Raw genomic sequence first — 12,023 nt, forward strand, 5'->3', positions numbered from 1 at the left:
TTCAACTTTTGTTTTAGGTTCAGGGGATACATGTGAAGGTTTGTTACTTTGGTACATTGAGTGATGCTAAGGTTTGGATTACAAATGGCCGAGGTACTGGGCATAGTATCTAATGTTTTTTCAACCCTCCCCACCTCTCCACTCTAGTAGTCCCCAGTTTCTACTGTTGCCAACTTTGTGTCCATGAGTACCCATTGTTTAGCTCCCACTTAAAAGTGAGAACATGAAGTATTTGGTTTTCTGTTTCTGCCTTAATTTCCTTAGGATAATGGCCTCCAGCTGAATCCATGTTGCTGCAAAGGGCATGATTTTGTTCTTTTGTATGGCTATGTAGTATTCCGTGGCATATATGTATCATGTTTTCTTTATCCATTCCATCACTGATGGAAACCTAGATAGATTACATGTCTTTCGTTATTGTGAATAATGCTTTGACAAACATGTGAGTACATGTTTCTTATTGGTAGAATGATTTATTTATTTATTATACTTTAAGTTCTGGGATATATGTGCAGAATGTGCAGGTATGTTACATAGGTATACATGTGCTATGGTGGTTTGCTGCATCCATCAACCCGTTATCTACATTAGGTATTTCTGCTAATGCTATCCCTCCCCTTGCTCCCCACCCACTGACAGGCCCTAGTTGTGATGTTCTCCTCCCTGTGCCCATATGTTTTCATTGTTCAACTCCCACTTATGAGTGAGAACATGCAGTGTTTGGTTTTCTGTTCCTATGTTAGTTTGCTGAGAATGATGGTTTCCAGCTTCTATGTTTCTGCAAAGGACATGAACTCCTTCTTTTTTATGGCTGCATAGTATTCCATTGTGTATATGTGCCACATTTTCTTTATCCAGTCTATCACTGATGGGCATCTGGGTTGGTTCCAAGTCTTTGCTATTGTGAATAGTGCTTCAATAAACATACGTGTGCATGTGTCTTTATAGTAGAATGATTTGTAATCCTTTGGGTATATATGCAGTAATGGGATTGCTGGGTCAAATGGTATTTCTGGTTCTAGATCCTTAAGGAGTCGCCACACTGTCTTCCACAATAGTTGAACTAATTTATACTCCCGCCAACAGTGTAAAAGCACTCTATTTCTCCACATCCTCTCCAGCATGTGTTGTTTCCTGACTTCTTAATGATTGCCACTCTAACTGGCATGAGATGATATCTCATTGTGGTTTTGATTTGCATTTCTCTAATGACCAGTGATGATGAGCTTTTTTTCATGTTTTTTGGCCTCATAAATGTCTCCTTTTGAAGTGTCCATTCATATCCTTCACCCACTTTTTGATAGGGTTTTTTTTTCTTGTAAATTTGTTTAAGTTCTTAGTAGATTCCAAATATTAGCCCTTTGTCAGATGAATAGATTGCAAAATTTTTCTCCCATTCTGTAGGTTGCCTGTTCACTCTGATGATAATTTCTTTTGCTGTGCAGAAGCTCTTCAGTTTAATTAGATCCCATTTGTCAGTTTTGGCTTTTGTTGTCATTGCTTTTGGTGTTTTAGTCATGAAGTCTTTGCCCATGCCTATGTCCTGAATGGTATTGCCTAGGTTTTCTTCTAGGGTTTTTATGGCTTAGGTTTTACATTTAAGTCTTCAATCCATCTTGAGTTAATTATTGTATAAGGTGTAAGGAAGGGGTCCAGTTTCAATTTTCTGCATATGGCTAGGCAGTTTTTCCAACACCATTTAGTAAATGGGAAATCCTTTCCCCATTGCTTGTTTTTGTCAGGTTTGTCAAACATCAGATGGTTGTAGATGTGTGGTCTTATTTCTGAGGCCTCTGTTCTGTTCCATTGGTCTATATATCTATTTTGGTAACAGTACTATGCTGTTTTGGTTACTGTAACCTTGTAGTATATTTTAAAGTCAGGTAGCATGATGCCTCCAGCTTTGTTCTTTTTGCTTAGGATTGTCTTGGCTATACAGTCTCTTTTTTGGTTCCATATGAAATTTAAAGTAGTTTTTTTCTAATTCAGTGAAGAAAGTCAATGGTAGCTTGATGAAAATAGCACTGAATTTATAAATTACTTTGGGCAGTATGGCCATTTTCACAATATTGATTCTTCTTATCCATGAGCATGGAATAATGTTTTTCCATTTGCTTATGTCCTCTCTAACTTCCTTGAGCATTGCTTTGTAGTTCTCCTTGAAGAAGTCCTTCACATTCCCTTGTAAGTTGTATTCCTAGGTATTTTATTATCTTTGTAGCAATTGTGAATGTGAGTTCACTCATGATTTGGTTCTCTGCTTGTCTATTATTGGTGTATAGGAATGCTTGTGATTTTTGCACACTGATTTTGTATCCTGAGACTTTGCTGAAGTTGCTTATCAGCTAAAGGAGATTTCGGGCTGAGACAACAGGGTTTTCTAAATATACAATCATGTAATATGCAAACAGACACAATTTGATTTCCTCTCTTCCTTGTGAATACCCTCTATTTCTTTCTCTTGCCTGATTGCCCTGGCCAGAACTTCCAATACTATGTTGAATAGGAGTGGTGAGATAGGGCATCCTTCGTCTTTTGCCGGTGCTTCTGGCCTTTGGCCATTCAGTATGATATTGGCTGTGGGTTTGTCATAAATAGCTCTTATTATTTTGAGATATGTCCCATTAATACCTACTTTATTGAGTGTTTTTAGCATGAAGTGGTGTTGAATTTTATCGAAGGCCTTTTCTGCATCTATTGAGATAATCATGTGGTTTTTGTCATTGGTTCTGTTTATGTGATGGATTATGTTTATTGATTTGCATATGTTGAAGCAGCCTTGCAATCCAGGAATAAAGCCAACTTGATTGTGGTGGATAAGCTTTTTGATGTGCTGCTGGATTCAGTTTGCCAGTCTTTTATGGAAGATTTTTGCAAAAATGTTCATCAGGGATATTGGCCTGAATTTTCTTTTTTTGTTGTGTCTCCACCAGGTTTTGTTATAAGGATGATGCTGCTCTCATACAATGATTTAGGAAGAAGTCCTTCTTTTTCTATTGTTTGGAATACTTTAAGAAGGAATGGTACCAGCTCCTCTTAGTACCTCTGGCAGAATTTGGCTGTGAATCCCTCTGGACCTGGGTTTTTTTTTTTTTTTTTTTTTTTTTTTTGGTTGGGAGGCTATTTAAGGCCTCAATTTCAGAACTTGTTATTGCTCTATTAAGGGATTTGACTTCTTCCTTGTTTAGTCTTGGGAGGTGTATGTGTCCAGGAATTTATCCATTTCTTCTAGATTTTCTAGTTTATGTGCACTGAGATGTTTATAATATTCTTTGATGGTAGTTTGTATTTCTGTGAGATCAGTGGTGATATCCACTTTATCATTTTTATTGTGTCTGTTTGATTCTTCTCTCTTTTCTTCTTTATTCATTTGACTAGCAGTCTGTCTATTTTGTTAACATTTTCAAAAAAACAGCTCCTGGATTCATTGATTTTTTGAAATGCTTTTTGTGTGTCTGTCTCCTTCAGTTCTGCTCTGATCTTAGCTATTTCTTGATTTCTGCTAGCTTTTGAATTCGTTTGCACTTGCTTTTGTGGTTCTTTTAGTTGTGATGCTTGGGTGTTGATTTTAGCTCTTTCCCACTTTCTCCTGTGGGCATTTAGTGCTATAAATTTCCCTGTAAACACTGCTTTAGCTATGTCCCAGAGATTCTGGTATGTTGTGTCTTTGTTCTCATTGGTTTCAAAGAACTTATTTATTTCTGCCTTAATTTTGTTATTTACCCCGTAGTCATTCAGGAGGAGGTTGTTCAGTTTCCATTTAGTTGTGTGGTTTTGAGTGAGTTTCTTAATCCTGAGTTCTAATTTGATTGCCCTGTGGTCTGAGAGACTGTTTGTTATGATTTCTGTTCTATTGCATTTGCTGAGGAGTGTTTTATTTCCAATAATGTGGTTAATTTTAGAATAAGTGTTATGTGGTGCGGAGAAGAATGTATATTCTGTTGATTTGGGGTGGAGAGTTCTGTAGATGTCTATTAGGTTGGGTTGGTGCGGAGCTGAGTTCAAGTCCTGAATATCCTTGTTAATTTTCTGTCTCCTTGATCTGTCTAATATCTCCCACTATTATTGTGTGGGAGTCTAAGTCTCTTTGTAGGTCTCCAAGAACTTGCTTTATGAATCTGAGTGCTCCTGTACTGGGTGCATATATATTTAGGATAGTTAGTTCTTCTTGTTGCATTGATGCGTTTACCATTATGTAATGCCCTTCTTTGTCTTTTCGGATCTTTGTTGGTTTAAAGTTTGTTTTATCAGAGACTAGTATTGCAACTTTGGCCTTTTTTTTTTTTTTTCGCTTTCCATTTGCTCGGTAAATAATCCTCCATCCCTTTATTTTGAGCCTATGTGTGTCTTTGCACATGAGATGGGTCTCCTGAACACAACACACGATGGTTCCTGACTGTTTATCCAATTTGCCAGTCTATGTCTTTTAATTGGAGCATTTAGCCCATTTACATTTGAGGTTAATATCGTTATGTGTGAATTTGATCCTGTCATTATGATGCTAGCTGGTTATTTTACCCATTAGTTGATGCAGTTTCTTCATAGTGTCGATGGTCTTTACATTTTGGTATGTTTTTGCAGTGGCTGGTACCAGTTTTTCCTTTACATATTTAGTGCTTCCTTCAGGAGCTCTTGTAAGGCAGGCCTGGTGGTAACAAAATCCCTCAGCATTTGCTTGTCTGTAAAGGATTTTATTTTTCCTTTGCTTATGAGCTTAGTTTGGCTGGATATGAAAATCTGGGTTGAAAATTCTTTTCTTTAAGAATGTTGAGGCCAGGTGCAGTGCCTCACACCTGTAATCCCAACACTTTGGGAGGCCAAGGCCGGTGGATCATGAGGTCAGGAGTTTGAGACCAGCCTGACAAACATGGTGAAACCCTGTCTCTACTAAAAATACGAAAATTAGCTGGGTGTGGTGGCATGCGCCTGTAATTGCAGCTACTCAGGAGGCTGAGGCAGGAGAATCGCTTGAACCCAGGAGGCAGAGGTTGCAGTGAGCCGAGATAGGGCCACTGCACTCCAGCCTGGGTGATGGAGCGAGACTCTGTCTCAAAAAATAAAAAAAAAAATAAATAAATAAAAGTTGAATATTGGCCCTCACTCTCTTTTGACTTACAGGGTTTCTGCAGAGAGATCTGCTGTTAGTCTGATGGGCTTCCCTCTGTGGGTAACCCTATTCTTCTCTCTGGCTGCCCTTAACGTTTTTGCCTTCATTTCAGCCATGGTGAATCTGACAATTATGTGTCTTGGGGTTGCTCTTCTCAAGGAGTATCTTTGTGGTGTTCTCTGTATTTCCCAAATTTGAATGTTGGCCTATCTTGCTAGGTTGAGGAAGTTCTTCTGGATAATATGCTGAAGAGTGTTTTCCAACTTGGTTCCATTCTTCCCAGGTACACCAGTGAAACGTAGGTTTGGTCTTTTCACATAGTTTCATAATTTTTGGAGACTTTGTTCATTCCTTTTCATTCTTTTTTCTCTAATCTTGTCCTCACACTTTATTTCATAAAGTTGATCTTCAGTCTCTGATATCCTTTCTTCTGCTTGATTGATTTGGCTATTGATACTTGTGTATGCTTCATGAAGTTCTCATGCTGTGTTTTTCAGCTCCATTAGATCATTTATATTCTTCTCTAAACTGGTTATTCCAGTTAGCAGTTCCTGTAACCTTGTATCAAGGTTCTTAGCTTCCTTGCATTGTGTTAGAACATGTTCCTTTAGCTCGGAGGAGTTTGTTATTACCCACCTTCTGAAGCCTACTTCTGTCAATTCGTCAAACTCATTCTCTGTCCAGTTTTCTTCCCTTGCTGGCTCGGAGTTGTGATCCTTTGGAGAAGAAGAGACATTCTGATTTTTGAAATTTTCAGCCTTTTTGCACTGTTTTTTTCTCATCTTCATGGATTTATCTACCATTGGTCTTTGATGTTAGTGACCTTCAGATGGTTTTTGTGTGAGGGTCCTTTTTGTTGATGTTGATGCTACTGCTTTCTGTTTGTTAGTTTTTTGGTTTTTTTTCTCATAGTCAGGTCCCTCTTCTGCAGGCTGCTGGAGTTTGCTGGAGGTCCACTCCAGACCCTGTTTGCCTGGGTATCACCAGCAGAGGCTGCAGAACAGCAAAGATTGCTGCCTGCTCCTTCCTCTGGAAGCTTCATCCCTGAGGGGCAGTTGCCAGATGCCAGCCAGAGGTCTCCTTTATGAGGTGTCTCTCAACCCCTTCTGGGAGGTGTCTTTCAGTCAGGAGGCATGGGGGTCAGGGACCCACCTGAGGAGGCAGTCTGTCCCTTAGCAGACCTGCAGTGCTGTGCTGGGAGATCCATTGCTCTCTTCAGAGCCTGCAGGCAGAAATATTTAAGTCTGCTGAAGCTGTACCCACAGCTACCCCTTCCCCCAAGTGCTCTGTCCCAGGGAGATGGGAGTTTTATCTATAAGCCCCTGACTGGGGCTGCTGCCTTTCTTTCAGAGATGCCCTGCCCAGAGAGGAGAAATATAGAGAGGCAGTCTGGCTACAGTGGCTTTGCCATGCTTTGGTGGGTTCTGCAGACAGTTCGAACTTCCCGGTGGCTTTGTTTACATTGTGAGGGGAAACCCGTCTACTCAAGCCTCAGTAATGGTGGACGCCCCTCCCCATACCAAGCTCAAGCGTCCCAGGTCAACTTCAGACTGCTGTGCTGGCAGCGAGAATGGCAAGCTGGTGGATCTTAGCATGTTGGGCTCCATAGGGGTGGGCTCCGCTCAGCAAGACCACTCGGCTCCCTAGCTTCAGCCCCCTTTCCAATGGAGTGAATGGTTCTGTCTTGCTGGCATTTCAGGTGCCACTGGGGTACAGAAAAAAAACTCTTGCAGCTATCTCGGTGTCTGCCCAAACAGCTGTTCAGTTTTGTGCTTGAAAACCAGGGCTCTGTTGGTATAGGCACCCGAGGGAATCTCCTTGTCTGCGAGTTGCAAAGACCGTGGGAAAAGCGTAGTATCTGGGCTGGATAGCTTCATCCCTCACAGTGTGGTCCCTCAAGCTTCCCTTGGTGAGGGGAGGGAGTTCCCAGACCTCTTGTGCTCCCTGGGTGAAGTGCTCCCCACCTGCTCCTGCTTGCCTTCCATGGGCTGCACCCGCTTTCTAACCAGTCCCAATGAGATGAACCGGGTACCTCAGCTGGAAATGCAGAAATCACCCACCTTCTGCATTGGTCTTGCTGGGAGCTGCAGACGGGAGCTGTTCCTATTCTGCCATCTTGCCAGCCTCCCCAATTTGTTTTCTTATAGCTGTATACTGAGTAATGAGATTGCTGAGTTGAATAGTAGTTCTAAGTTCTTTGAGAAATTGCCAAACTGCTTTCCACAGTAGTTGAACTAATTTACATTCTTATCAACAGTGTATAAGAATTCCCTTTTCTCCACAGCTTTGCTGGTATCTATTGCTTTTTGACTTTCTTATCATAGCCAGTCTGACTGGTATAAGATGGTATCTCATTTTGGTTTTGATTTGCATTTCTCTGATGATTACTGATGCTGGACATTTTTTCATATGTCTGTTGGCCACTTGTGTGCCTTCTTTTGAGAAATGTCTGTTCATGTCTTTTGACTGTTTTTAATTATGGGCATTTGGTTTTTATTTGTTCAATTGTTTAATATCCTTATAGGCTCTGGATATTATACCCTTGTTGATACATAGTTTGTGAATATTTCCTTCCATTTTGTAGGATGTCTGTTTACTCTGTTGATAGTTTATATTGCTGTGAAGAAGCTCTTTAGTTTAATAAGGCCCCATTTGTCAATTTTTGTTTTTGTTGCAATTGCTTTTGAGGACTTAGTCATAAATTCCTTCCCAAGGTCAACGTCCAGAATGGCGTTTCCTGGGTTTTCTTTTAAGATTCTTACAGTTTGAGGTCTTACGTATGAATGTTTAATTTATCTTGAGATAATTTTTCTATATAGTGAAAGGCAGCAGTCCAGTTTCATTCTTCTGCATATGGCTAGCTAGCTATCCCAGCACCATTTATTGAATAGAAAGTCCTTTCCCCACTGCTTACTTTTATTGCTTTGTGAAAGTTCAGATGGTTGTAGGTGTGAAGCTTTAATTCTATTTTCTCTATTCTGTCCCAATCATCTATGAGTCTGTTTTTGTACCAGCCAACTGCCATTTTTGGTTACTGTAGCCTTATAGTATAGTTTGAAGTCAGGTAATGTGATGTCTCTGGCTTTGTTCTTTTTGCTTAGGATTGCTTTGGCTATTTGGGCTCTTTTTTGGTTCCATATGAGTTTTAGAATAGCTTTTTCTAGTTCTGTGAAAAATGATGTTGGTAGTTTGATAGGAATAGCATTGAATCTGTAGATTTCATTGGGCAGTATGGCCATTTTCATGATATTAATTCTTCCAATCAAATATCCTCCATTTGTTTGTGTCATCTCTGATTTCTTTTAGCAGTGTTTTGTAGTTCTCCTTGTAAAGATCTATCACCTCCTAGGTTAGATGTATTCCTAGATATTTTATTTTTTGTGTGTCTGTTTTAAATGGGATTGCATTCTTATTTTGACTCTAAGCTTGAACATTATTAATATATAGAAATGGTACTGATTTTTGTACATTGATTTTTTTTTTTTATCCTGCAACTTTCTTTATCGAAGTTGTTTATCAATCCCAAGAGCCTTTCAGTGGAGTCTTTGGGGGTTTTCTAGGTATAGAATCATATCATTCACAGCGAGAGATTGTTTGACATCTTCATTTCCCATTCGTATGCCTTTTATTTGTTTCTCTTAACTGAATGCTCTGCCTAGCCCTTCCAGTACTATGTTGGATAGCAGTAGTGACAGTGGGCATTCTTGTCTTCTTCCAGTTCTCAAGGGAATGCTTTCAACTTTTGCCTATTAAGTATGATGTTGGCTGTGGGTTTGTCATAGATGGCTCTTATTATTTTGAGATATGTTCCTTCAATGACTAGTTTGTTGAGGGTTTTTATCATGCAGGAATATTCAATTATATTGAAAGCTTTTTCCATGTTTATGGAGATGATAATATGGCTTTGGTTTTTAACTCTATGTGTGGAATGACATTTATTGATTTGCATATATTGAACCAACTTTGCACCCCAGAAGTGAAGCCTACATGATCATGTTGAAATAACTTTTCAAATTGCTGTTAAATTCAGTTTGCTAATATTTTGTTGAAGATTTTTGTGTCTATGTTCATCAGGGATATTGGCCTATGTTTTTTTTTTTCATCATGTCTTTGCCAAGTTTTGGTATCAGAGTAATGCTCTAATAATTCTACTAGGTGTACAGTAATTCTACTAGGTGTACAGCTCCTCCTTGTACACCTAGTAGAATTCACCTGTGAGTTCATCTGGTCTGGGGATTTTCTTGATTGGTAGGTGTATTAGTCAGGGTTCTCTAGAGGGACAGAACTAATAGGATGGAGATATATATATAAAGTATTAACTTACATGATCACAAGGTTCCACAATAGACTGTCTGCAGGCTGAGGAGCAAGGAGAACCAGTCCGAGCCCCAAAAGTGAAGAACTTGGGGTCCAATGTTCGAGGGCAGGAAGCATCCAGCACAGGAGAAAGATGTAGTCCGGGATGCTAGGCCAGTCTTTCCTTTTCACGTTTTTTTTTGCCTGCTTTATATTTGCTGGCAGCTGATTAGATTGTGCTCACCAGATTAAGGGTGGATCTGCCTTCCCCAGCCCATTGTCTCAAATGTTAATCTCTTTTGGCAACACCCTCACAGACATACCCAAGATCAATACTTTGTATGCTTCAATCTAATCAAATTGACACTCAGTATTAAACATCACAGTAGGTTTTTTATTACTGATTCAATTTCAGGACTCAATATTGACCTGTTTTGTATTTCAGTTTCTTCCTGTTTCAATCTTGGGAGATTGTGTGTTTCCAGGAATTTATCTATTTACTCTAAATTTTTATAGTTTGTGTGCATAGAAGTGCTCATAATAGTCTCTGAGAAGGTTTCGTATTTCTGTGTTTCTGTGGGTTTGGTTGTAATGTCACTTGTGCCATTACTGCTTGTGTTTGTTTGGATTTTCTGTCTGTTTTTTTCTTGTTAATCTTGTTAGAGATCTATTGATCTTGTTTGTCCTTTAATTTTTTGTTGCGTTGATTCTTTGTTTGAAACTTTGGATTTCAATTTCATTCATTTCTGCTCTGATTTTAGTTATTTCTTTTCTTCTGCTAGCTTTGGGGTTAGCTTGTTCTTGTTTTTCTAGGTCCTCTAGATGTGATGTTAGATGGCTAAAATAAGATCTAACTTTTCAAGGTAGACCTTTAGCATTATAAACTTTCCTCTCAACACTGATTTTTCTGTATCCCAGATATTGTGATATGCTGTATAATTGTTTTCACTTATTTCAAAGAATTTTTTGATTTCTAGCTAATTTTTTTCCTCAAAAGTCATTCAGGAACAAGTTGTTTAATTTCTGTGTAATTGCTTGTTTATGGGGTTATTCTTGATATTGATTTCTATTTTCATTCCACCGTGGCCTGAGAGTATTGTTTTTTTTTTTTTTTCTTTTCTTTCCCTTTCCCTCTTAGGGTGTGCAACAATTGGGAATGCTGAGCAAGGCTTTGCCCCTATATCCCTATGCACTTCTGTTGGAAGGTAAGATGTGGTGGCTCAGGCTGCTGATCCAGGTGAGCTGGTGCTCTGAGATCTAGAAATCTGCCTGGGCATGGAGTGGAGAGGGCTTTGTTGCACAATGATCTATATCCAGTAAGAGTGGGGCACCTCAGGCTGCTGAACCCAATGCATGGGTGCTCAGAATGTCTGGAGACCTGCTTTAGGGTGAAGCAAAGACAGCCCCAATGTACCATGATCACAGGGGAACAGGCTGAGACAACCGTCAATGGCACATGCAGACTGGTTCCAGGTCACTAAATTGGCTCTAGTTGTCTCATTGCCTAGGAGACACTGCAGCTATAGCAGTTGTCTTCCCACCCCAGGCTTGTAATAGGGAAGAGCACAATTCCTGCCTCTAGTGCTAAGACGCTTTCCACAGTTAGGGCTATGGAGGTCCCTACCCTGCTCCAGAGCTGGTGCTCCAGTCCCTGTCCAGAGATTAAAATGCCTGCATGGCCATGCTGGCGGATTGCCACAGAATGGCCGACTGTATGCACCTACCATAAAAATAATTTTCTTCTCTCAGTCCTGGATTGGGAAAAATATCTGAAGCTTTACCCAGTGTTTTTCCCTCACAGAATGTTCAAGCCTCTTCCCAAGACAGCTCCAGTGTTTGGGGAAAATAAAGTGCTCTCCCTTGGCCTGGGCCCTTGGATCCCAAGTGGAAAGGTGAGTCACGGAGGGAGGTGCTCTTCCTCTCTCATGTACTAGGACTTTACTCATTTTTGTAGCCAGATGCCATCACAAGGGCCGTTTGCTGGCATTCTCATTTTTTGGATCAATGGTGTCCTTCACAATTCTGTGAAGGAAATTTCCATTTTCCTTCTTGATTTAAAGTTCACAGAGTTGGTCTTTATGCACTATCTTGCTATTTCCAAGTGGTTGAGGCAGGCTAAAAGCCTCTAATCTACCATCTTGAAAAAAAACTGTCTTATCAAGTTTTAAACTCATGATCTGTGCCGTTACATAACTCCTAGAAGATGAGATATTTTCCACATCACAAAAATTTCCTACTATCCATATTGGTTGCCAGAAACATTATAACCAAGCTTAAGAAAGTTACTCATAGCCAAATAATTTCAAAAGCAAAAATATGAAAAGTCTTCAAATATTTGTACCGCAAAAATTATATTTATTATTGTATGTAGATGCTTTTTAACGCATTTATTCTACTATGTGAGGCATCTCCAAAATAATTGTGTTAAACTACTGAGTTTAATTTTGAATCCTCAAATAGCCTTGTATTTTTATTGCTTTCCTGAACCCTAGGATGAACACAGCTTTTCCTTGAGTCTTTTCTTTGGAAACAGTCATTTTAAAGGACTCAGATATAATCTTAAAAGACAGCTATTGGTTAGAAGAAAAAACATAGCTAATATGCATGTACACACATATAC

General features: G+C 39.5%; 1 protein-coding gene across 2 annotated transcripts in view; it reads left to right on the forward strand.

Moving 5' to 3' along the window:
* GALNT13 (polypeptide N-acetylgalactosaminyltransferase 13) overlaps nucleotides 1–12,023 on the forward strand; it is a 1,388,282-nt gene that overhangs the window by 253,740 nt on the left and 1,122,519 nt on the right. For both annotated transcript variants that reach the window (NM_001422882.1, NM_001422883.1), the window contains exons 4-5: nucleotides 10,542–10,608; nucleotides 11,205–11,295. The gene's annotated coding sequence lies outside the window, so the exon portion shown is untranslated. The remainder of the gene's footprint in view (nucleotides 1–10,541; nucleotides 10,609–11,204; nucleotides 11,296–12,023) is intronic.

Source organism: Homo sapiens, chromosome 2 (assembly GCF_000001405.40).
Source record: "Homo sapiens chromosome 2, GRCh38.p14 Primary Assembly".
NCBI classification, from domain to species: domain Eukaryota; kingdom Metazoa; phylum Chordata; class Mammalia; order Primates; family Hominidae; genus Homo; species Homo sapiens.